This window comes from Homo sapiens, chromosome 5 (assembly GCF_000001405.40).
Source record: "Homo sapiens chromosome 5, GRCh38.p14 Primary Assembly".
In the NCBI taxonomy this organism is placed as follows: Eukaryota; Metazoa; Chordata; class Mammalia; order Primates; family Hominidae; genus Homo; species Homo sapiens.
This window is the reverse complement of record NC_000005.10, coordinates 6,310,441-6,337,495: the sequence shown is the minus strand read 5'-3', so window position 1 is coordinate 6,337,495 and position 27,055 is coordinate 6,310,441. Positions and strand designations below refer to the sequence as shown.

Sequence of the window (27,055 nt, the reverse complement as noted above, 5' to 3'; positions counted from 1 at the left end):
GCGGTTGAAGAGAGCTCTATTAGAACAAAAAAGGTTGAGAATTCCTGGTGGAGATAAAGTGCAGGGAGAGAGAAAAGTTAGAGGACACGCTCCCTGTCCTAGGACTTTGGGGTGGCAGGGCCCTGAGGCTCTGAGAGCAGCCCAGACTTTGCCCTTATTCTCTGTGTTTCAGGGCCTCGCTACCTTTCCAAGGCAACATCGTTCTTGGAGCACCTGCTGAGGTGCTCTCTGCTGGGGGCCGTAAGTGAGCATCGAAAAAGCTGTAAAAAGTATCCCTGCTGCTCTCCAGGGACTCACAGCATGGACGGCACCTGCATTGAGAGAAGACGGCAATGGTATCGTGATGGTGAGTCTGTTGCCGCTGTATAGAGAAATGGGGAGGGAGAACTCAATTGCAACTTGGGAAGAAGATCATCTGGGAGGAGGTGGAGCCTTTCTGTCTTGAAGGTTGGGTCTACCTCCAGGTGTGAAGGAAGGACATTTCATATACAGGGGAAAGAGGTTTAAAGTATGGAGCTGGTGTGTGTGTGTGTGTGTGTGTGTATGTATGTGTATTTGCACCTGGAAGCATGAGTGTGTGTGCACGTGTGTGCTGGCATCTGGGTCTGTGGTCACAGATGTTTGCACATGTGTGCATGTACCTCTTTGTGTGTGCATGTACCTCTTTGTGTGTGCATGTGTGTGTGGCTTATTTGTGAAACAAAACCAAAAGCCAGATGAGGAAACTTTATGGGAAGCGAAGTCTGAAGACAGATGGGGCCCAGGCTGCAGACATCTGGAGGGCCAGGCTGTGAGGGCAGGGCTTTGGCTGTGTGCGGGGCAGTGGGAAGCCTAGTGGGGTAGGAAGGGCCACTTTGAGATGGTGCAGTGGTGACAGGAGAACACGATGACTGAGGCCAAGAGCTCAGTTAATATTTCAAGTGGGATGTTGTGAGGCCTGAAATAAGGCTGACATGGAGTGGGTGGGGAGGAGGGATCTGCATCATGGGACCCCCTACTCTGGAAGTTGCTTGGCAGCTGCCCATCAATCATTGAATAGACATCTGTTGAGTTTCCTGCTTCCTGCCCTGCACTGTGCTAAGTAACAGAGGTACAGAGCATCTCAGTCACCTCCATGGTACTCAGACCCCCTCCCAATGCGGTCACACATTGCTAACAACAGTGCTGCCAAAGGAACAGCTGAGCACTATGTGTGCGGGTGGTGCTAACTCTTGCATGTGGGCTGTGCCAGGTGTGTGCCCAGCGCTTCCTCAGGAGGCATTAAGGAGCAAGCTTCCAGATACCCGCTTCTCAGCCCAGCTCTGGCTGTTGAGCTGCTTCCCCCTGTGGGATGCTGCAGCTTCCTAACTGCTGCAGTTTTCAAAGTGTGCAAATCTGATCTAGAGAAGTAAGGCCACTAGCTCCAGATGGGCCCACAGCTGTTGGGTTCAAAGGGCTTCAACGAGCCACGATTATTATCTGTGGTCTTGATAATAAGATCATTATCTTATTCTGTGTTCCTGTAATAACGACGTGTTTGTAAATGTTGACCCTGCAAGGTGACAGGTAGATAAAAATGCCTATGGTTCTGATAAATAGTCATTGGATATTTATGTCATCCAAGGGTGGTGGCTTTGGAGTGTGGAAGGTAATAATAAGACAATAATCTCGTGATAATAGTCTGAGATGAATTATATCTTTAATTATGCTTAAAATAACTTTTAAAGAATAAGTAAGTGAATAAATAAGCAATGTGACAAATAAACAACTGGTGTCAACAACTCTAGAAGTTTGGGGAAAATAAGTTTCTAAAATTCCTTGACCCTCCTTCCATCAAGAGATGGGGTCTCTGTCCCCCTTTGAATCTGGGCTCCATATTTCTTGGCCAATACCTCTTTCCCCTGTATATGAAATGTCCTTCCTTCACACCTGGAGGTAGACCCAACCTTCAAGACAGAAAGGCTTCACCTCCTCCCAGATGATATCCTTAGAGAATGGAACTTCGTGTCTGATGACTGAAGTGAGCTTAGGCCTCCCTGGCCAGCTACCAGGGCCTTCCTATGTGCTGGCACTGGGAGGTCTGTGTCCTGAGCTCGCCTGGCCCTCAGGCTGGGCACACACCGCACACCAGTGAGCAGCAGCCATGTGGTGCTGGCAGCTTGGTGGGCACAGCAGGCATGGCCACGAATCTAATGCCTGACAATGACAGGTGTTGGAGCATGTGTCTTAAGCAAGCTGGACAAGGTGTGCATCAGCCAGCAGAAGGGAGACAAGGATGAGCCTGCTGCCCATCTACACTCAGCTCCTGTCTTTGTCTTCCTCAGCCAGTGGTGAGGTGATCTATAGTGGTTCTGGGACAGTGTATTATGGCAGAATCAGGTCCTGGGAGGTGAGCGTGGCTTCCTGCCATGAGCTACCACAGCTCAGATGCCTAAATATTTAGTGCACATTCTGTTCATCTTCCTATAGACTGGGCATTCAGAGCACAAAATGCTGTTGCAATTCTTCCTCCCATAGGAGGGCATCTTGAATGTGCCAGGGCTGGTTTCCAGCCTCTCCCATCCTGCTAATGGGTGCACGCTTTCCATGAATTGCTGTGTGATGTTCACACGGAGGTACGGTGTCAAGGGGGTTTGTCCAATCTGTAAAGGGAGTGGGTAGGTTGAATGCAGCATTCTCCAAAGGGTAACCTCATGAATTCCAGGGCCTGGATGGAAATGGCAGCTACCAGGTGGAAAGGCCGTGTGGACTGACTGGTTTGGAAAACCCTGAGCTTAATGCAGGACTGAACTCTAGTGTCTCAGATGCTACAGAAATTCAAGACAAGATCAAGTTCTTAGCTTCTCTTTGGCTTCTCTGTGGTTCTCCTAGTTGCTGTTGGGGGCTCCTGCTCCTTTCTTTCCACCCCATGCAGGTATGGGCGCTGCTTCTCTTCTGCTGAGGGATTCTCCTACACTAGGAAAGGTTCCTCCATCTGCCCCTTCATCAAAAATATTCTTCCTTCTATCTCATTGCCTTAGAGTCTGCCTCTATCAACCAATTACTCCTGAGACTATGAGCTGTCACTCACCATTGTGAAGAGGGGGCTTCAGTATCTCCATGCCTGTTCCTTTCTTTCTCAAGTCCTCCCATGTATGCTACTGAAAATCTGCATCCTGAAGATTCACTTTTTTCTTAGAAGTCTGGTCTCTAGAGTAGGAGCTGGCCACTTTTCCTGGAAGGGGCCAGAGAGTAAATATTTGCCAGCCATGCGGTCCTGTTGCAGCTACTCAGCTCTGCTATTGAAATGTGAAAGCAGCCACAGAAGATGGGTCAGTGAGTGGAAGTGGCCACATTTGGCCCATGGGGAATGGTTTGCCCACCCCTGACCTAGATAGAATGTATCACGGGTCCCCTTGGAGCACTTGTCATTTGCCAAATTATTGTCTTCCCTCCAGCCAGTTCCACCCATAGAACTTAAGTTACCCTTAATTTCAACCAAGGAGTGGAACCTGACCATGAATCCATGCTCCAATGCCTAAGGCTTTGACTCTTGGCTGGCTGGGCAGAGCCAGTGAGTGGAAACAGATGGGGAGAAGAATTGATGCTGTTACTCTACCACTGAGGGCTGTCTGTCTGTGAATGAGGGGTGAGTACCCTGACACTGGGGGTCACCAAGAAATGGCTTTGGGTTACTTTGTTGTGGAAATTACAGGTAGGCTTTGATGGGCTCTGAAGGAAATTTCAGAGTCTGACCTTTAAGCTGCTTCTGATTGAGATTCAGTACCTGGCTTCTCTCCTCCTGTCTTCTATCCTCCCGCTCCCGCTGCTGGGCATGTGGTTGCTGCAGCTTGCAGTGTCCCGTGCTAGCATGCCTTATCCAATTTCCTCTGCACAGTTCAAATATAATAGAAACAGATGCCTGCTAGAAAGATGAATTGGAACTAGGACTATGTCATTGAGTTATTGAATTGTTTTGATGGCTTCCACAGGCTGATGCAGTCACACAGGGCAGCTACAGCTTCAGTTTTGTCTGGCTGTTTATCAGCTTTGGAGTGAGTTGTAACAGAATTCCTTCCTGCACTGTGGACTGCTCCTCAGCTGTGAGAGCCCTGCCACCATCCAGATCCCCAGCAAATGTGATATGTGAGGCTGGCTGGGTGGATGTACCCTGGACACAAAGCTCTTTTCTTGTTTTCCTCCCGCTCACCCAGCTGGAAGCCTTGTCGTGCTATAGTTGCTCTTTTAGCACATCTAGGTATCCCAGGTTGTGGACATCAATAGATCAGATCCAATAGGCTGCAGCTGTCTGTAGAGGGATGTTGGGAAGTATGCAGGTCTGAGTTTTTATCCTACTTGCAAGTACACACCTCAGCTGGCCCCAGTTTCCACAACACTCATGGCTCAGAGACAAAGGCTTTTATTAAAGCTGCATTTCAGTTCTCTTTGAACTGAAGTCCCATGAGCAGGAGGCGGACAGGCCAAGATACTATTTTTGTGCAAAGTTTTCTCAATCTAGGCACCATGTACATTTTGGGTCAGAATTATCTGTTGTGGCAGTGTGTGTGTGAGGGGGTGCTCTTCTGTGCATTGTAGGATATTTGGCAACATCCCTGGCCTCTACTCAATGGCTATTGTTTTCACAACATCTACAGCCAATATGAACTGCTGCTCTATGGTATGTACAAACGTGTGCACTATTTAAACACTGTTGAGAAAAAGGACCTCCTTGGAACAAAGGCAGATGAGTACCTTTCCTGGGTGGCACTGGACACAACGATGCTTGGCCTCTGGTCTGTGGCCCAGAGGTAGACAGTAGGCAGCCACATGAGCTGGACATCCATCCCCAAACATGGGACATTTCTTTGCCATTATCAAAGAGGGGAAGGCCACTTGGTAGACTCATTTTTTCATGTGATTAAGGCCTACTCACTAGTACACTACTAAGTCATTAGGGACCAATAAAATTTGTCATTTAAATCAGAGATGCACTCAATGACAACATACCAAATGCTGAAAATCAACCATCAGCTACATGTTACCTTCACAGGATAAATTTCTAGAATAAAAGAATAAACTTGAATTTTTTTAAAAAATGTGATCATTATATTTTCTGATGGTGGAGTGTAAGTATGATAGATTGCTTCTGTGATCATCCTAGTGTGCATGCTAGTAATGCAAAATGCTTGCCTCCTTCCCACTGGTAGGGTTTGAGCATGGCCAGTGTGAGGAGGTGTTAATGTAGTTCTCGTGGTGAAGGTAGTTGGGTGGCCCTACTACTGAAGTTAATGCTGCCAGCATTATATTTTGTGATAATAAATGCAAATTTAGACCTCAACTGGTTAAAATAATTTTAATACATAAAACATTAGGAGATTTTCACTCCAAGCCATATCTGTAATACTTACATGATTTTGACAATCAATATTCAGATATTGACAATAAATCCAAGTAACATACTTTGTCCACATTATTGGAATTTTTATGCTGATTGGATATGATGGCAGTCTCTGGACCATGTGAGTGCTGAACACTCACAAGTTTAGTGATCCAGCGATGACACTGATACAGGTACGTGTCCAGTTTCCTTCTGACGGCCTAATATGAATCAAATGTCAGACTTTACCCAAATACTGAGGCTTCTGCCTAGTTTATTCAGGACTAATTAAAGTTTCTTTAAAATGTCTGCTCAGCATGGTGGTTCACACCTGCAATCCCAATGACCTGGGAGGCCAAGATAGGAGAATCACTTGAGGCTAGGGTTTGAGACCAGCCTGGGCAACATAGTGAGATTCTGTCTCTAAAAAATAAAAAAAAAATTAGCCAGGTATGGTGGTGCCTATATAGGTGGTACCTCCTATAGTCCCAGCGACTCAGGAGGCTGAGGCAGAGGGATCCATTGAGCCCAGAAGTTGTCAGCTGTAGTGAGCTATGATTGTGCCACTGCACTCCAGCCTGGGCAATAGAGTGAGACCCCATCTCAAAAACAAACAAATAAATAAATAAATAAATTTGTTCTCCTGAGAAGTCTGACATCCCCCTGGGCACCATGGTCAGGATCCTACTGCAGAAGAATTAACCAAGGTGGATGCTGCTTGTATTAGCTTGTTTTCCCATGGCTATAAAGAACTACCTGAGACAATAATTTATGAAGCAAAGAGGTTTAATTGACACACAGCTTTGCAGGCTGTACAGAAAGCATGGTGGGTGAGGCCTCAGGAAGCTTACAATCATGGTGGAAGGTGAAAAGAAAGGAGTCACATCTTACATGGCTGTAACAGGAAGAAAAGAGCAAAGCAGGAGGTGCTACATACTTTTAAACAAACAACTCTCATGAGAACTTACTACCATGAGAACAGCAAGAGGGAGATCTGCCCCCGTAATCCAATCACCTCCCACCAGGCCCTTCCTCCAACATTGGGGATTACAATTCAAGATGAGATTTGGGTTGGTTCACAGAGCTGAACCCCATCATTCTGTCCCTGGCCCCTCCCAAATCTCATGTCCTTCTTACATTTCAAAATACAATCATGCCTTCCCAACAGTTTCTCAAAGTCTTAGCTCATTCCAGCATTAACTCAAAAATCCAAGTCCAAAGTCTCATCTGAGACAAGGCAAACCCTTCTGCCTATGAGCCTCTTAAATCAAAAACAAGTTAGTTGCTTCCAAGATACAATGGAAAATGGGGGTACAGGCATTGGATAAATGTTCACATTGCAAATGTGAGAAACTGGCCAAAACAAAGAGGCTACAGGCCCCATGCAAGTCTGAAACCCAGCAGGGCAGTCATTAAATCTCAGAGCTCCAAAATAATCTCCTTTGACTCCATGTCTTATACCCAGGCCACACTGATGCAAGGGGTGGGCTCTCAAGGCCTTGGGAAGCTCTGCTCCTGTGGCTTTGCAGGGTACAGCACCCAAGGCTTCTTTTATGGGCTGGTGTTGAGTGCCTGTGCTTTTCCAAGGGCACATGCAAGCTGTCAATCTACCATTCTGGGGTCTGGAGGACAGTGGCCCTTTTTTCACAGCTCCACTAGGCAGTACCCCAGTGGGGACTCTGTGTGAGGGCTTCAACCCCACATTTCCCCTTCACACTGTCCTAGTAGGGGTTCTCCATGAGGGCTCTGCCCCTGCAGCAGACTTCTGGCTGGACAACCAGGTATTTCCATACATCCTCTGGAATCTAGGTGGAGGTTCCCAAGCCTCAATTCTTGCCCTCTGCACACCTGGAGGCTTAATGCCATGTGAAAGCCTTTGTGGCTTCTTGATTGCACCCTTTGGAGCAGAGCAGCACCTCTGAAACATATCTGAGGCCCTTTTAGCCACCGCTGGAGCTGGAGCAGCTGGGATGCAGGGAGCAGTGTCCTGAGGTTGTGCAGGGGAGCAGAGCCCTGGGTCTGGCCCATGAAACCATTCTTCCCTCCTAGGCCTCTGGGCCTGTGATGGGAGGGGCTGTGTGAAGGTCTCTGAAGTGCCTTCCAGTTATTTTCCCCATTGTCTTGGCTATTAACATTAGGCTCCACTTTACTTATGCAAATTTCTGCAGATGACTTGAATTCCTCCTCCAAAATGGGTTTTTCTTTTCTACCATGTAGTCAGGCTGCAAATCTGTAATACTATATGATTTTGAATATCAATATTCAAATACTGGCAATAAATTCAAGTGACATGGTTTATCCACATTGTTGGAAACTTTTATGCTCTGCTTCCCTTTTAAATGTAAGTTTCAGTTTCAGATTATTTCTTTGCTCATGAGTACAAGCTTAGGCTGTTAGAAGCAGCCAGGCCACATCTTGAGTGCTTTGCTGCTTAGAAATTTCTTATGCCAGTTACACTAAATCATCGCTGTCAAGTTCAGAGTTCCACAGATCCCTAGAGTAGGGGCACAACACTGCCAGTCTGTTTGTTAAAGCATACCAAGAGTGACCTATATTCCAGTTCCCAATAAGTTCCTCATCTCCATCTGAGACCACCTCAGCCTGGACTTTATTGTCCATATCACTGTCAGCATTTTGGTCACAACCATTCAACAAGTCTTTAGGAAGTTCCCAATGTTCCCTCATCTTCTTCTTATAAGCCCTTCAGAATGTTCCAACCTCTGCCCATTACCCAGTTCCAAAGCTGCATCCACATTTTCAGGTAACTTTATAGCAATGTCCCACTTCTTGGTACCAATTTTCTGTATTAGTCTGTTCTTGCATTCCTATAAAGAACTACCTGAGACTAGGTAATTTATAAAGAAAAGAGTTTTAATTGACTGAGTTCCACAGGTTGTAGAGGTAGCATGGCTGGGGAGGCCTCAGGATGTAACTCCTTCCTCTTCGCCTGCCACCTTTCAATCATGGTGGAAGGTGAAGAGGAAGGAGTTACATCTTACATGACTGGATCAGAGGAAGAGAACGAAGAGGGAGGTGCTACACTCTTTTAAACAACCAGATCTTGTGAGAACTTATTCACTATCATGAGAACAGCAAGGGGGAGATCTGCTTCCATGATCAAATCACCTCCCGCTAGGCCCCTCCTCCAACACTAGGGATTACAATTCAACCTGAGATTTGGGTGGAGGCACAAAGCCAAACCATATTGCTGCATTCTTTCATGTTTCTTAGGCTGTTCTATATTTTTATTGGCTGTTCTTCTGAAATTTAATGATAAACTGCTATTGATTCAGCTTCAGACTTACTAATATAGTTTCTCTAATAATTTTTGTTAATCCTTCAGTGTGTATTGTCGCATGAACTATGATTTGACTATGATTCACTCACACCCCTACCACACAAATACACCACTGAAGTTTGTTTATATACAGTTCCACCACCCCAAATTTGCTTTTACAGTGACAATTCACTTGTGTCATACTTATTGCATCCTTGTGCTATTACAAGTTGTCTTGGCTTATCTGGGGTTCTAACAAGCCCACATAAACTATTTGTACCTTGCTCTAGGTTCCCCAGAGCAAACTTTGCGGCAAGGTACAAATAGTTTATGCGAGAGGTGATCCCAGTGAAGGAGTCAGAGAGTGGGATGCTGGGGAATTTATCCATGGGTTCTCATCTCCCACATGTGGTGGGTTGCCCCGGAGGGTATTGATTTTTCAGGTTGTGTTTGTGTGTAGCTTAGCAGCCTTCTGCTGCTTTGGAATGCAGAGAGACAAGTGGCCCCTGCCTGACTTGGAATTCCTTGCAGAGGTGTATGGAGCTGTCCGACACTGCAGTGCTGAAGTTGGTTGAGCTAGGAGGATGTGGCATGTTATCCATCCTAAGGACCTACTACACAAGTGTAATACAACTACTGGGTTATTTTTCAGGTAATAGGGCACAGTTTTAGAGTACAATGAAAAGTCTTGTGCAGACATAACTTTTTGTCATTTCTCTTATTGATATATCTTCAGTGCCTAATACAAAGTAGAACAAATAAAATTTGTTGAATGAATCAATATAAAATCAGGTGTGTGAGCGCATGTTATTCTTTTATAAAGTAAATAACAATGGTTTAAAAAATATGTTGCTAACAAGAAGTCTACTCTGATAGTTTGTTCCTCTCCAATTCTTTGTCACCTCTCTTCTTTTCTCTTTGGAAAGGAGAAAGGGTCAGAAAGGTGTGCCACAGGCTCTTCTGCCCACTTGCGAGCAGCTGCTCTAAATCACTTTCACTAGCAGAACTACTGTCAAGCTCTGAGGAGACAGTCTTTTTTTTTTTTTTTTTTTGAGACAGAGTCTCGCTCTGTCGCCCAGGCTGGAGGGCAGTTGCACGATCTCTGCTCTCTGCAACCTCCGCCTCCTGGGTTCAAGCAATTATCATGCCTCAGCCTCTTTAGTAGCTGGGACTACAGGCATGTGCCACCATGCCCGGCTAAGTTTTGTATTTTTAGTAGAGACAGGGTTTCACCATGTTGGCCAGGCTGGTCTCGAACTCCTGACCTCAAGAGATCCACCCGCCTCGGCCTCCCAAATTGCTGGGATTTCAGGCATGGGCCACTGTGCCTGGCCCTGAGGAGACAGTCTTTACCCAGGGTTGGAAATCTTGGGACTTGAGGTAATGAGACACAAGACAAGAAGGTTCCACTGGAAAAGATTAACCAAAGGTAGCAGGGAGCCCCTTTCTTTGTTATTTTAATGGCAGGGTTTGGGTGTTCACCTTACCCTTTAGTTTTTACAACTGGGTTTTGTCATAAGCAGCATTTGTAAAGTTTCATCAGAATACGAATTGGCTTTGCCTAGTTTTCAGTCTTCACTACTCCCTCTCCCTTGGGTTGTAGTGGGAAATCATTCAGTGCACTGGCCAGTGGATCAGAAACACATCCTTTTCCAAGAAGAGACTCTGTGTAAGCTTAGAGGAGTTTATTAAATTAGTATGTGGGATATAATTTCACCCAAGTATAAATCCGTAGCTGCTTTTAAAGAAATGAAGTTATATTACAAACAATTTCCCTGTCACCTGCACAAGTCATGTTAGTTAGAGGTTCAATCTTCAGTTCTGTCAGCATGGGTGATCCGTTCCAGAGATGCATGGCTCCTTGGAGGGCCTTCCTTAGGAAAGGAAATCACTCACGAGACAGATGAGCCTTCCTGGCTTTCACACGGTACATGCTGACTCTTCACTGGCAGAGGTGGGAAGTCGTGGATTTCATTACTGCAGTGCACTAAGGGCCAAGGAAAAAAAAATGCAATTTGCTACTGCCTCAATGACTTTGTATTTTAATCAAATGGATAAGAAAGAATCATTAACTGATGCTCAGACTGATTAAAATTCCAGTGAGAAGGAAAAGAAATGAGATTGTGACAGCAACAGAGGGTCGCTCATTCCCTGGCACTCACGAATCTGTAAAGTCACACGATGTTGATTTTCACCAGGAATGTGGACTGAGAAGGCCCCTGCAGATGTGGACAACGAGTATGTGGCCTGATCACTATCCAGACAACACCATCAGTCCACATCCTTGCCACGAAGTCAGGTGCCTACCCTTCCTGGAATGGTCAGAAGTGAATTAAATGTCTCCTTCTATGATGAAAAAGTTTCCTTTTCCCTACACAATTGAATCTTGATATAAAATCACAGAAACTTAAAGATGTGGCCACAGTAGTAATTATCTGGGTATGTACAGGGTCACTGGAGGCATAGGAGAAAACAGCAAATGCATTTGAAAGCACTTCTGAAAGCTACAAAATGCTACTCAAATTTAGAGTGCCTGTTATTGTTATTATTACTTTTCCCATCCCTGTCATTACTCTGATCACTGCTATTGCTAGTGTGAAGTTTCAGACTGCACACACTTTTTCACATACCTTGTCTGCTGGACAGGCAGAGACCAGAGGAGCAGTTGGTCAATGGAGACCTTTTCCACAGCAGATTTCTCTTCCTGATTTACATGTAGCTGTCCCTGGATGAAGCCTTGGGATCCCAGGAGACAGGACTTCCTCCAGGGAAGGAGAAGGAAATCTGGTCAGTGAAGTGTCCCAGTGGAGAGGAGGAAGACACTTAGAGCAGCTTAGTAGCCTCCATTCATTCAGAGTTCATTTCTCACACCCTCCTTCCACATCCCTTCCATAGTGCCTACTATGTGTTTTTCCTGATGCTGCATTCCCTACCTTTCGAGAGGTGAGAAAAAGGAGCACCCACCTCTGACTCCACAGTTGTGTTGTTAGAACCCTCAAGGGCTGCTAGGAATGGCTTTGGCTGCATCCAAAGGGTAGGGCTCCAAGGCACTTGTGCAGGCTGGAAAGTGGGGACTGATCGGCGAAGACGTGGGAAGGGCAGACGATCTTTAGGGAGTAAGCAGGAAATGCGTGATAAAGATTTGATACAGTTTGCAGAAAGAACAGGTGATTTAGAAATACGAAATAAAAACAAAAATATACAATAGCCAAACAAGATGCAAATCAGACCCTGGAGACAAGGTTGGTGGATAAACTAAAATAAAGACATACAGGATACAGTGCCCCCCACACTTGCTGCGGTTGAACAGAGAATTGGGCTTAAGCTTTGTAGTGGTGGGTGTGAAAGGGGATATAGAGCTGCTTACCAGGTCTGCCATTCCAGGAGTCAGAGAATCACCCTGGCCAGCTTCATGGTATGACTTAGATAAAAGCAAAAGAGACTTTTTTTGCTTGCATGCTTGGATGTCATCTCAAAATCTAAAAATCTCAAAATCTAAACCTTCCTAATCTAAACCTTCCTAATACCAAGGTCTTCCGTCCTTCTTGGCTAGGAGTTTTCAGTTCATACCCACCCCAGGCACTGAGATTTCTCTAAGGTGACCATCTTGCAGGTGAAGGGGCACTTCCTCTTGGAACCCCCAGATCTCCTCTTGTCTTCTTCAAGGATGACATAATTCCAGTATTTTGAGATTTGATTTAAATAACCATTACTTACATCATCATCTTGCTGATTTAAAAAACATTCTATTACTAACTGAAGTCTTTTTTTTTTTTTTTTGAGACGGAGTCTCGCTCTGTCACCCAGGCTGGAGTGCGGTGCCACAATCTCGGGCCACTGCAGCCAACCTCTGCCTCCCGGGTTCAAGAGATTCTCCTGTCTCAGCCTCCAGAGTAGCTGGGAATACAGGCTTGTACCACTACTGCCCAGCTAACTTTTGTATTTTTAGTAGAGATGGGGTTTCACCATGCTGGTTAGGCTTGGCTTGAACTCCTGACCTCAAGTGATCTGCCTGCCTCAGCCTCCAAAGTGCTGGGATGACAGGCGTGAGCCACCGCCTGCAGCCCTGAAGTCTTATTTTTTTTTAAATGGCATAAGAACACCAAGGTGGTTATGATTGCAAAAACCTTCATGTGGGGGCTCAATAGCAGTGGTCAAGATAAGAGCACTCATACAATGTTTACTATGTACCAGGCACTATTTTATGTGCCTCATGTATGTGAGTTCATGTGAGCCCTGCTGCACTCTGTGAAGTAGGGCTGTGCTCAGGTAGACCCAGAACCTGGCATTGCCCAAGGTCAAAATATGGTGTTGCTGGGGTGAGTCTGTTCTCCTAACCTCCATGCACACCAATATGTTCTCTAGAAAGGAATGCCCTGTAGTGCCAGTCCTCAGAGACAACCTCTTTGAATAGTGAATCAAACCAGAACATTTCATGCTTCTACCAACATATGCGAATGATGCACATTGTTTGCTCAACTTGCATTTATTCACTTAATTCCCCTTGGATAGGTTTTCATGTCAGTATACAGGACATTTATTAATAATATTCCATTGCATGGATGCACCAAACTTGATTATTGCACATTTGTGTTTTTTATCATGATAAACTATGCTAAAATGGTCTATTGTTTCTTTGTGAACCTTGAAAATATCTCAAAAAATTCCTAGAGGTAAGATGGCTAGACCCAAAAGCAAATGTTTTCAATAGTTAACAGCTATTGCTAAATTGTTCCCTATGTATCATGCAAACATTTACACTCCTATTTGTTTGCCTGTTTCTTTATGCTCTGGTTGACACATAATATGTTTATTAAATGACAATTTTTTAAAAATTTATTTTATGATTCCTAGTTTCTATGCCAATATCAAATTCTAAAGTGTCTGAATCATCGAGATGCAGAAAAATCTTAATTCTGTGACTTCTAAAAAATGCAAGGATCTGTGCCTATGATTGTTTCAGAGGATCTGCCTCTTACTGGGAGACTGCAAAGCGGTGGATTTGGCCATTTGATGTACCCTACTCTGGCAGAGATAAGTTGGAAGTTTTGTTTAGCTTTTGAGAAGTCTCCTACTCCTTTGAATACCTTCTCCAGGATGGCATCTCCAGAATCTTGGGCTTTCTGGTGCAGTTTTGGCTGGGGGATGTTTCAGTGGGTAGAAAAGAGCTCAGTAGGGAGAAGAGCCCTTGGCCCATTTCCCATCCAAATGCTGGAGGAATCATTCACTAGATATCATCTTTTTTGAAGCCCAGGAGCAGAACTATGTGGGGCATCTCAAGGAGAAATCAGAAATCACACTGCTCTCATCCCTGCAGCCAAGTGGGGACACAGTCACCTGGCCTTTCTCCTGGCCAGGTATTCAGTTTGCCAAGAAGCCTGCCAGGATCGGACAGCTAGCTTGGTTAGCACTCTGAGAGTGTCTCCATATTTTAGAGGTAGATTCGCATTAGCTAAGCTAGAAATACTGATGTATAATACCAGAAGGCCCATGTACTTAATTTACAGTGAAAACTCCAGTATGGCTGGCACAGAGCCTGGGTGGTTTGAAGGTGGTGAGATCCTCTGTGGGAAGCTGAAAATTTGAAGTTCATTTGTAGGGCCTAGGATTTAAAGCTGGTTGAGCTGGATGGTTAATGGTGCCAGGCTTCACATCCATTTTACAACAGGCATCCTCTTGCCACTGGGAAGGGAGGGCCAAACCACCAGTTAGGACTTTCATTGAACGGCTGGCTTCTCTCTGGCTGCCTCTTCTTCTCTGCCATCTTTCCCACACCCGTCCTGACTGGCATGCTGTGTGTGCTGCTCCTGGAGACGCGCTGAGCAGGTTCTAGCAGGACCCAGCCTGGGAGCTTCTGCTCTTCAAGGCCATTCCAATCTCTCTGCTCCACCCATTACAGATATGATAGGCCTCCTGGTGTATCCCTGAAGGGGCCTTTCTATTTCTAAGTAAATGAAGGATTCTTCAAGTTAAAATAAAGATCTCTTGGTGAGTGTGAACCGGTTCTGGGGGTTTGGCGTGGGGAGTCAGGGTGAGGAAACAACTGTGAACAGCTACACAGTGTGCTCAGTGTGCTTCTACTGCAAGATAATACTCCCACTGTGAGACTGTGCTGCCACTGTGAGACTGTGCTGCCACTGTGAGAATGTGCTCCCACTCTGAGATAGTGCTCCCACTATGACGAGATAGTGCTCACACTGTGAGAGAGCGCTCCCACTGTGAGAATGTGCTCCCACTATGACGAGATAGTGCTCACACTGTGAGAGAGCACTCCCACTGTGAGAATGTGCTCCCACTATGATGAGATAGTGCTCCCACTATGACGAGATAGCGCTCCCACTGTGAGATAGGGCTCCCACCGCGAGACAGCACTCCCACCGCGAGACAGCGCTCCCACCGCGAGACTGCGCTCCCACCGCAAGACTGTGCTCCCACTGTGAGATATTGCTCCCACTTGCAAGATAGCGCTCCCACTTGTGAGATAGCGCTCCCACTGCAAGATAGCACTCCCACCATGAGAGTGTGCTCCCACCGCGAGACTGTGCTCCCACCACGAGACTGTGCTCCTACTGTGAAATAGTGCTCCTACTGTGAAATAGTGCTCCCACTGCGAGACTGTGCTCCCACTGCGAGACTGTGCTCCTACTGTGAAATAGTGCTCCCATTGTGAGACTGTTCCCACTGTGAGACTGTGCTCCAACTGTCAAATAGTGCTCCCACTGCAAGACTGTGTTCCTACTGAGAGACTGTGCTCCCACTGCGAGACTGTGCTCCCACTGCGAGACTGTGCTTCCACTGTGAGATTGGTGCACCTGTGTTGGTTTTGTATGGGCAGATTTCCTTTCCTATGATGGCCCGTAGTTATTGAGAGTCCTTGCCTGCAGGCTTGTTTGGAAATAATTGTGAGCATTGGTAGTACATCTGCTGACTCCCTGTGTGTCAGAAAGCTAGCGCGTCCAAGCCCTGCAGTGCTGAGAGCCAGGTGGTTTCACGTGAAGCAGGGAGTCCCTGGCAGGGGCAGCTGCAGGTGCTTCTCTCAGTCTGGGATGGGCCAGATGGGTGAGGGACCAGGGAAGACACCAGATCCTCTATCAGGCTTAGCTTGGAGAAAGCTGGCTCTGTGCTGAGACTTGTCAAATATGCTCAGATGTTTACTTTCCATGATTAAAACCCATTTTAATTTTCTCTGTGATATTCTGCCCTTCCATGGATTAGGTAACCTGATTTTAAGGGGATACATTTCTATCCCCATTGGACACCTCCATAAAGCTATTTTCATTTTCAATTTAAAAAAGAAGTGGTTCACACATACCGCTTTTTTTTCTTCTTCTGAATTGTCTGTGCCTTTCCTCCACCTTCCCCCTTCTAATCTGGGCTGTCAGAACGGTTCAGGGGGTATCTGTTCCAGTCCATTCTCCCAGCTGCTGGAAAATCACTGATCTTGAAGCCCCTCTCTGACCACAGGCAGCCCCAGGGTTTCCATAGCTGCAGAATTCACAGTGGTTCTTTTCCAGGTCCTTAGCTCAGCACTCAAGGGCATGTGTGCTCCCTGTGAACTTCTCTCACTCATGGTGATGCTGCACTTTCTCACAGCTCTGGGTACCCACCCCACCCCCATCCTGCCTGCTGCAATCCTATTGATTCCTGAAGGTCTGCTCAATGCCTTCTGCTATGTGCCTCCACGATGCCACATGATACTCCAACTCCTTCTCCATGGAATTCCCATCAAATGACTATTATATTCTCATCCCTTCCAGATACATACATGCTTATATGTTATATAATGCCCAGTGCTTTAAGTTACTCAGCTCAAAGCACTAGACGTTACATGAAGTGGCCATTTGCTACGGACTGACTTGTGTCCTCCCAAATTCATATTTTGAAGGCCTAACTCCAAATTGACTATATTTGGATATACAGTTTTTAGGGTAATTAAAGTTAAATGAGGGCATAAGGGTGGGGTCCCAATCCACAGGGATTAGTGGCCTTATAAGCAGAGGAAGAGAGAGAGATCTTTTGCACTCTCCCTGCACAGACTTGGAGGAAAGCCATGCAGGGTCATAGAGAGAAGGTGGCTGTCTGCAAGAACCTCCCCAAAACCTGACCACGCTGGCACCCTGACCTTAGACTTCCAGCCCCCTGAACTCGGAGGAAATGCATTTCTCTTGTCGAAGCTATCCAGTCTACGGTATTCGTTATGGCAGCCTGAGCTGAGGAATACACCACACATTAAAAAAGTAAGGACTGTGTGCATTTGGGAAGAAGTCATCTAGTCCTGCAATTAGATTTGGGAGGCAACTATAATGCATAAACAGTTTCTGAATTTGTGAATTTCCTATTTCTTTGCTTCAGAATAGTTTGACCTTTAGACATACAGGCTCACAGATTGCTGAAAAATCACAAGGTCTGTGATGAAGCTGTGAAAATAATTGAAAGGATTTGTTTTTCTAACCCTGGCTCTATCCATCTGATTACACTGTAACTAATATTTGCTGCAAAACCTGTGGACAAAAATTATTCATAAACTGCAAAGAAATTGCACAGCCATGAAAGAAATCAGTGTGTTAAAAGGGCCATGTTTTCTCCCTCTAAGCAATAGAGAATCTGTGAGACACTTTGTTGTACAATAAATAAATAAATAAAATAAAAAAAAGAAGAAGGAAAAATAAAAGAAGGAAAAAAGGAGCGACCCTGAATACTGAAGAAACACTATTGAAAACTGTGAGTTTTCAGATTGTTAATATGAAATCCTCTCCTGATGATTATTTATTTTAAGAGGGTGCACGTCAGTGTGATGCTCTTTCTCCCACTTGGGACCCTTTCCAAGGATGTATTAGTTAATACAAAAAGCACTGTCAGCAAAGGCACTCACACATGAGACAGCTGGAATTGATCCATTCTGGAGGCAGAAAACTTGGCAATCACTGGCTATCAATAAGCAGAGTGAGTGACATTCTCAGGATTAGTTGCTTATCCAGAAGGTGTGAGCCCTCTTTAGGGTTTTAGAAAATGTGTGCTTACTTAGGTTGTATTTCTGTGTGATGACGTGTAGGAGGAATGCAATTTACCCTGGATTTTTGTGAAGCAGGGCTGCCATGCAACTGCAGTTATCCAGCAAGGAGCAGACCACATAGGGTCCCAACAAGAGACACCTGGAGCCCAATCACTGGGGGCTCACTTTTGTCTTCTATATGATGGAAGAGCAGTATATGCAAATCATCTAAGCTTCTCTTCTGTCAGCATCCCAGTTTCTTCTACTGCTCTTGCCAAACCTGATCAATTACACCCTGGATCAATGCCACCATCTGTCACAGGTGGCCCCGTGGGTTCTGGGTAACTAAAGGAAGACACAGACCAGCTTTAGAATATTTTATTTTTGTCTCTTGGGACTCCAGGAGCTGAGAAAGTTTTCATCTTTGGTTTGGCTCAAAAAAGAACATTCTAAGTAAAGAAGGAACACTGCTTCCCTGTCCTGCCAATGCCCTGATCCCCTCCCCGCTTTCATTCCTTCCCAATTCCATACCCGCCAACATCCGGTGATGCAGCCGGCAGGAAACACAGGGAGAGACGGGCAGACAGCTCATTCCTGGAACCTTCACTTTATACCGAGAGGTGTTTGCTTTGTGTGTGTGTCCAGCATCTTGCCGTTCTCTGCCAGTGTGCATTGAGTGTTGAGGGTGGAGCAGGCATTTCAGCACCAAGGTGATCGCTCAGGTTCCATCTCCTGTCTGACATCCACTGGCCAGAAAAGTATTGTTGTTTAGATAAGTAACATTTAGATGTGTCTTAGCCTTGGCTGCTGTAATGATATACCATAGACTGGGTGGCATATACACAACAGAAATTTCTTTCTCACAGTTCTGCAAGCTGGAAAGTCCAAAATTAATGTGCTGGCAGACTTGGTGTCTGGTGAGGACCCACTTCCTCATAGATGGTTGTCTTCTCAAGGGCAGAAGCAGTGAGGGTCTCCCTAGGGCTTCTTTTATGGACATTAATCCCATTTATAAGAGCTCCACCCTCATGACCTAACCACCTTCCAAAGTCCCCATGTCTTAATACCATCACCTTGCAGCTTAGAATTTCAACATAGGCACATGAACATTCAGATCATAGCAAGGGGTAAAGCAGAGCTGAAATATTCTTGGACAAAGGGAATGCAGATTTTTTTGTTTTTTTTTTTTTTTTTTTGAGACGGAGTCTCACTCTGTCACCCAGGCTGGAGTGCAGTGGCACCATCTCGGCTCATTGCAACTTTCGCCTCCCGGGTTCAAGTGATTCTCCTGCCTCAGCCTCCCAAGTAGCTGGCATTACAGGTGTGTACCAGCACACCTGGCTAATTTTTTATATTTTTGGTAGGACAGGGTTTCACCATGTTAGCCAGGCTGGTCTCGAACTTCTGACCTCAAGTGATCCAACAGCCTTGGCCTTCCAAAGTGTTGGGATTACAGGCCTGAGCCACCGTGCCCAGCCAGTTGTTCGTTAAATAGAAAAGGAAATACAGGAGTCTTAGAGGAAGATAAGCTTTGATCCAGACACACACAGGGCCTCCCTTGAGTCTAGAACAGCGATGCAATTCCAAAGGAAGTATGTTTACCAAGGTCCGCCTCCCTATCCCTATGTCAGAGCCATTGTGTGCTGACTGCGCTGTGGGTGTCAAGAGTGAGAGAGAAGGTGTGGTGTGAGGGGCTCCACAGGCAGACTCCTTGCTCAGAGCATCTCACTGGACTGCGATGGAGAGCTCTAGGAGAAGCACTTTTCCCCATGCACCCACAGTTCTTTGATGGAGCAACGTTCCCCCAGAACGCCTACAGTGCCTGGGCTGATTCCTTCCCACCCTGCCCTCTCCAGAGGCCAGTTATCAAATCTGGTGCAGAGTGCACTCCGGGCTTGGTGAAGTGTGGAGAGTCTCAGGTTCTTGGTGAGCATTTGGTCCCCTCTGCCAGGACTGCAGGATTCAGAACAGCTCACAATCTCAGAAACTAACAAATCTAACTTTGAGAACTTTCTGGTGTATTTTGAATGTATCCAGGACTTTCCTCCAAAGTTATTTCTTATAGGCAGAAAATGATTTTGTTGCCATCTTGGGAGAAAGAACAGATGGAAGTGGCTTGATTAAACCCTTCTATGAGAGCAGAAGAATTTATAGCAATATTGAAATTGCTCTATTCTTTCTATGAATGCGGGAGGAATAAATCAAGAGGTTGTAAGTTTAGGACAATAATAGTATAGTGATGACTTCACCACTGCACACACTGTTTCTCCTTGGGCTTAGAGAGGCATGCCACAGCATCCTGGAGTAGGTGAGGAGAATGCAGCCTTCAGCCACTTTCCCAGGGCTAGACAGCTCCCTGGCTTGGGTCACAGGATGGAGTTGCCAAGCTCCCAATGCAAAGCCTCTAGATAAACGTGAAAGTGCCAGTCTTGCATTTTGCCTGTTTCGCCACACACTTCTGTATGTGAGTCACAATCAGAAGGGGAGGATGGACAGAGAATTCAAAAGAGCCAGGCTTCAGTGTTACTGCCCACCCAGTTGCTCTCCACAGACCAGCACATTTTAATCTAAGAAAGTGGCTGCCCACGTCAGCAGAGGGCTGGGCAAGCCCATAACTGTGATTGCTGAGGGCTCCACCTTGCAGATGCTGCTGAGCCATTTTTCATACCATTTGATCAAGCATAGCTTCCTACTGCATATTGAGATAGCTTAGTCCTGACCAATCAAAGGGCTCTAGGTGGTTTTATTATTTTAAACTAAGCTGTCTACTCACTCTTGTCTCCTCCTCCTCCTCTTCTTCTCCCCCATCCTGTTCCTCCTCCTCCTCCTTCTTCTAGCTACATAGCAGGTCGGTGTTTGGACTCCATGTGCCTGGGGATTGGGGAGTGGGAGGGGAGGGGACACTAATGAGCTGTCTATCAGAGGATACATTTGCTGGGGATCTGGGTTGAAAGCACGGGATGCCAGGGTTTGGTTTACCAATCTCCTGTCTCCGCTGCTGTAGCGGGTGGCAGATTTTCCCAGAAGTGGCAGTTAGAGAGAAGTGCAGACCCAGGGGTGGTGCTAAGGTGCCTACTGGGCCATGGTCCCTTTCTGGGTCGAGGAAGGCAGGGCAGCCAGTCTTCCTGACAGAGAGACTTGTATCTGACTATTTTGAGCTCCAAGAGGAAAGTGGTGTGCACCTTGCACTGTGCCTTGCTGCAGCCCACAGACCTCAGTGCAAACATTTTCAAAACCAACATGCCTCTCCAAGGAGATGGGCAAACATGTGTAAGAGGGAGGAGAGGCATATCTCTATTCCAAGCTTGCACAGCTTAGTTGCCAACCTTTTTAAGGTAGATTAGCTCTTTTATTTAGGGAGATACTGTACTTGGGATCAGGATCCCACATACTTAAGGCATCAGAAGGGCCCTTTGGGCCAGGAGGCAGGAATTAGGGTTAGGATCTGGGGCCCCTTTCAGAGTTAATGAATTTAGAGCCCAAGGCCCTCCTGGGGGTCTCAAAAGCTTCTCCAGAGTGGAAGAAAAGGCGAGGCTTCCGTTTGGTCTTTATTTCTCAGGAGGCTCCAGGCCAAGGTACAGGACCCTTTGCTGATGTGTCCGTGGGGACAGGGACTCCAGGCCACTGAGGAGATGGCAGCAACTCCCAATGCACAGTGGAGGAAAGTCACCACTGAAGATGTCCCCTCCTGCTCCCTAGCCCATCACCCAGTTTTTGGTTCATTGATTAAACATGTCCTATGCAGGGGGACTGAGTTACAAGCCAGAATGTTGTAGGATACACTGACAAGACCCCCATTAATCCTGACCTGTAGGCTCGAGCTTGTCCAGGCTCTGAGGCCAATATGGCCCCTTTCACAGGAGAGATAAGGGGATGCCCCATCCTAATCTCCAGAGGCCACATCACAGCAGCCTTGCTGCTGGCCCTGACTCCCTTCCCTGGATGTGTCCTTGTTGTGAAAAAAATTCCTGTTCACCCACCTGTTTCCATCCTGGGCTTTGACTCCCCCATCCTGAGCCCTGGCCTTTGCTCCCCCACCTCATTCTCTGGCACAGTCCACGGACACATGAGGGGCAGGACATTTGTGGGAAATCAAAGTGCACCATAGCTGGCCAGCACTGGCCACCCCCGGGAGTGGAGTCGATGGTGGGAGAGGCTGAGGTCCAGCTCAGCAGGAGCAGGAGGAAGGTGGGGATGGGTGGCCAGGAGGGGTGTCCACTCCCAACAGGAGGAGAACACGCGATGGGCAGGGCCTGGGAGCTTAGGGCGTCCACTCATGGTTACGTTTGTTTCCCCAGAAGAGGAAGCAATTAAGAGGGACCGAGCACATATGGATAGAGGTGGAGTTTTGAGTTTGGCAATTAAGAGGAATGAATTTTCTTTGTCTTCAATCTTTGGTATACTCTTGCCATCTTTTAACATTTAGTCCTTTCCACCTCACTTTTCTTTCTTTTAAAACTCTCTCAGTCTCTGAGTGTATTTCCAGCAGTGCCCATCTATCTGTTTGTGGGGACTTCCTTTTCCATAGCTGGGGCAGCTTCTCTGCTACTATTTGGCTCTTCTTCATTTTTTCCAACTCCCGCTGTTGTTTTATGATATTTATCTTGAGCTCTTCTTTTATCTTAATTTTAAATATTTGCTCCATAGAGGACATTTTCATGAAGCCCCTTCCTTCCTGAGGAATTTTCTTGCCATCTGTTCATTTCATAGCTTTCGCTGAGCACCTACTCTGCATCAGGCTGTATTCCAGGGTCTGTGGACCCACATACAAACAGGAGATAATCTCTATGAGAAGAAACCAGAAGGCAGGAGAACTGGAACAAAAGGGGTGTCCCTGCCTGTCTCCTGGATCAGCTGACTTCCTTTTGCACTTTAGGCCAGCACAAAGGGCTGGGGACTCTGGGGGCTCTGCAGCCCATCCACGCTCCTGCTCACCCCTTCATCCAGGAGTGGTCCCTCCTGACATCCTTGGCTTTGCTGACCATGTCATAGGTCTGCAAGGGCTGGTGTCCCCTCCTCCAGGTTGGCTTGCTCAACCTAAGCTGCTCTTCTTCATGAAACTCGGGTCATTCTCTACAGAGGTTCCATTTCCATTCTTATTCATTTTATCTTTTGTTACTTTCAGAGAGGAGGAGGGGTGAGATGTCTGAACATCAGAAGTCTGTTGAGAGGAATGGGAAAGGTGACCACCATATACTTATATTAGTTTCCTGGGCTGTCACATTGAATTACTACAAACTGCAGGACGTAAACATCAGAAATTTATTTGCTCACAATTCTGGAAGCCAGAGGTCTGAAGTCAAGGTGCCAGCAAGGTTGTGCCCCCTCCAAAGCCTCCAGAGGAGGATCCTTCCTCGTCTCCTCCAGCTGCTGGTGGCTCCTGGCAACCCTGGTGGTCCCCAGCTTGTAGCTTCATCTCTCCCTGAAGGGGACCCCTGAGAGAGCTCAGGGGGAAAGCAGGGGGAAATGACTGCCCAGTTCCCACATCGATATGGGGCAACCCCCATTGGACAAGGTGGTTTCAGCAGAGCGGGGGACAGCATTCCCCGCACCCCCCATCCTGGCTCTCATGATCTCAGAATTGAGCACAGAGGAGCTCCTGAAAGTTCACGAACAACATCTGCCCCACGAAAGACACAGGGGCTGATGGAGAATAGCTACTGAGAGCACCCACAAAGGAGCATTAGAAGATGTGGGAGCACCCGAGGATGTGGGAACACCCATGAGGGAGAACCAGAGGTCCTGAAGCATCCACAAAAGAGCACTAGAGGATGTGAGAGCAGCCACAGAGGAGGAACAAAGGATATGGGAGCACCTAGGAGGGAGTATCAGAGTATGTCAAACCCCCAGAAGGGAGCATCAGAGGATGTGGAACCCCCAGGAGTGAGCATCAGAGGATGTGGGGCCCCCAGGAGGGAGCATCAGAGGATGTGGGGCCCCCAGGAGTGAGCATCAGAGGATGTGGGGCCCCCAGGAGGGAGCATCAGAGGATGTGGGTCCCCCAGGAGGGAGCATCAAAGGATGTGGGAGCACCCAAGAGGGAGGACAAATGATGTGGGGCCCCCAGGAGGGAGCATCAGAGGATGTGGGGCCCCCAAGAGGGAGGACAAATGATGTGGGAGTCCCCGGGAGGGAGAATCAGAGGATGTGGGAACCCCCAGGAAGGAGCATCAGAGGATTTTAGCGCCCCCAGGAGAGAGCATCAGAGGTCCTAGGAGCACTTGAGAATGCTTCTGCCATTGGTGAAGAGGGAACAGGTAGAATCAATTTCTCACCATGGATGTTGGCCAGGACCCAAAATATTCATACTAAAGCATTCCCCTTCCATGACACCATGATTTGTAATTTCCCTAAATGTGTCAATCACATGGGAAGGACGGACATGGGGCTGAATGAGATGCATGGAATTGGGTAAATGAAGAGCTCTAAACAGAGTGTAAATTCCACTGAATTCCATTATAGAGTTAGAACCATCCATTTTTGAGTTTCCAAGTTTGTGACCACAAATTTTAAATTTACCATATTACTAATTGACACAACTACCTTCTCTAACATTGGACAAGAAGTTCAGTAAATCAGATAGTCTTCTGGCTGGGTCTTGTAGGATAGTTCTCAATTTGTCCTGATTTATGATATATTTTCCAACCTGTGTACTTACTGTGAACATCAGTGGGCCTTGGCTTAAGGGAAAACAAGAAAACCTGCAGAGAAATATAATCCAAAATCACTTTTCACCTTTCTTCATCGAATCCTCAATGGGTGTCCACCACTAACTGAACTTTAAGTAAGAAACACGTCTATACCAAGCGTCAGGGCCAGATACTCCGGTTACCAAAGGTGGAGAGGCTTTGGCGGTGGGGGATGGGGTGTCACAGAGTCAGCCTCAAAGGTGTATCACAGGGCTGGGCAGAGACCAATGTTGCCTTCTGGGCCAGCTACACACTGGCCACATCCTTTTATTTTCTTCTTTACTGAGTTATAATTAAGAAATAGGAATTGTGTATATTTAGGGTGTACAACTTGATGTTTTGATATATGTGTACATTACAAAACATCACCACAATTAAGCTAATTGACATGTCCATTACATCACAGTTACTTTTGTCTCTCTCTCTCTCTCTCTCTGTGTGTGTGTGTGTGTGTGTGTGTGTGTGTGTGTGGTGAGAACACTCTAGATCTACCTCTTTGCTTTAAAAAGGAAGAAAATCCTCCATCCAACAACGTAGATGGCCCTGGAGGATGTTATGCCAAGTGCAAGAAGAAACGAGAAGGACAAATGCTACATGATCTCATTCCTATGGGCCCTGCAACAGCCACATCCTTCTTGACTGAAGACATTGGCCTTGCCTTCTATCAGGTTTCCCCTCTCCTGGGGTTCCTCTGCCTGCTCTCTCAAGACACATGGAACATGTACACGTGCCCAAGATGGATCGGCCGCTCAGCCGAGCCTCCCAGTGCTGCCTGCCAGGCTGGAGGGACCCGTCTTCTAGGGACATTGCACTCCCCTGCTCTTCTGAGCTGACCCAGTCTTGAACCCCCCCTTTTTTTCTGGCTCATGTGGTGCTGCCTGGTGTCAGAGCCTGGCCTTCTCATATCTGCCTTGTCCCTGCACAGCCTGAACGCAGGCCCCCAGAATAGTCCTGGCTCAGGGCCTGGAAAAAAAATCACCTAGTCAGAACACCAAATTACAACTCAGAAGGTTGCTTAGTGAGCATAAAATTGGAGCAAAGAGAAGTGGATATTCTGAAGGGATGCTTCCGATGTGCTGTGGTAGCAAGATGCATTGTTCTTTTCGACTCTGGGGCTATTTCCAGAAAAAGACCTGGGAGGGGACCTCTAAAATTGGGACATCCATCCTCCCAGACAGTGCTGAAGGGCATGAATGCACTCCTCCCTCTCCTTCCTTTGTTTAAAATATTCCTATCATTCTCCAAAGGCCTCCGCAATTACAGCATTATGCATTACAGGTTTCAAGATTGCATTTAATCTTTTATTAGTTCCATCTGCATCACTTGCTTCCTGATGAGATTTTGAGGAGTTGCCTTAATCTCATCAGCCCTGTATTTACAGATCTTATCCTCATAGGATTGCCTCTGGGAAGATTTTTGCTGATGGGCAAATCTAACCATTAGAGTCAAGGCCTGGATTTCATGCCACTAATCATGTCCATAGCCTGCATGCGGACAGATCACCTGCCCCCCTCGGGTTCCCAGGGCCTCCTGCTCCCAAGCTCCTCTGCCTATTTGCCCACAGGCTTTGCTTCTCTCCCAATGCAAGTGTGGCTTCCTCAGAGGCAGGTCTCTGAGTCTCCTGGCCAGGAAAGACCCTCTGATATGAACCTGTAGCACTGCACACCTCCCTTCATAGTGCCCAGCCGTCGTTATTCTTCCCACCTTTAGGGTTTGAGTAGATGACTGTGTGTATTCATTTCCTAGGGCTACTGTGACAAAACATAGATTAGGTGGGTCCTACAGTTCTGGAGGCCAGAAGTCCAAGATGAAGGTGCCCTCAGGGGAGGATCTGTCCCATCTCTCTCCCTAAGGCTCCCTTAAGACTCTAGGGAGGATCTGTCCTGTGCCTCTCTCTGTTGCCCAGGCTGGAGTGCAATGGCATGATCTCGACTCACTGCAGCCTCCGCCTCCTGGGTTCAAGTGATTCTCCTGCCTTAGCCTCCTGAGTAGCTGTGACTACAGGCGCCCAACACCACGCCTGGCTAATTTTTGTATTTTTAGTAGAGGTGGGGTTTCACCAGGTTGGCCAGGCTTGTCTCAAACTCCTGACCTCAAATCATCTGCCTGCCTCGGCCTCCCAAAGTGCTAGGATTACAGGCATCAGCCACCACGCCTGGCCCTCTCCCAGTTTCTGTTGGCCACAGAGGTCCCTTGGCTTGTTTCCACACTGTGCACTCTAATCCTCCATCTTCACATGGCCGTCTTCTCTCTGCATTGTCACATCATCTTCTCTCTGTGTATGATGGTGCCCACGTTTCCCCTTGTTTTAAGGACACCAGACATATTGGTTAGGGCCCAAACCCTGAGGCCATTAGGCCTGATTTTACCTTGATTATCTCTGTTGGGACCTTCTTTCCAAATAAGATCACATTCTGAAGTCCTTGGAGTCAAGACTTCAACACTCCATGGCATCCTAACGAAGTCATTGACTTTCTTTGTTGTTACTTTCAGCATATCCCCTGTCTGGCACAAAGGGAGCACAGTTGACCTGTGAACAGTGCAGAGGTTAGGGACTCAGACCTACCTTGCAGTAGAAAATTTGAGTATAACTTTTGATTCCCCCAAAACTTAAGTACCGATAGCCTCTGTTGACCAGGAACCTTACTGATAATTTAAACAGAAGATAACACATATTCTGTATACTATATGTGTTATACGCTGTATTTTTACAATAAGGCAAGCTAAAGAAAATAAATTGCTAATAAAAAATCGTAAGAAAG

The 27,055-nt window shown here is 46.7% G+C and overlaps 1 long non-coding RNA gene across 1 annotated transcript, besides 1 other annotated feature; it reads left to right on the top strand.

Annotated features, from left to right (window-relative positions):
* Positions 1-203: 203 nt before the first annotated feature.
* On the top strand, positions 204-27,055 carry LINC02145 (long intergenic non-protein coding RNA 2145). The gene is made up of 2 exons (NR_028351.1): positions 204-346; positions 24,780-27,055. It is a non-coding gene; the product is annotated as a long intergenic non-protein coding RNA 2145 (long non-coding RNA).
* Positions 21,540-21,765: a silencer, noted in NCBI's record as "fragment chr5:6315844-6316069 (GRCh37/hg19 assembly coordinates)". NCBI's record gives its function as "represses an EF-1alpha promoter that drives an FKBP-Casp9 reporter gene in an ReSE screen in K562 erythroleukemia cells {active_cell/tissue: K562}" and the evidence as "EXISTENCE:reporter gene assay evidence [ECO:0000049][PMID:32094911]".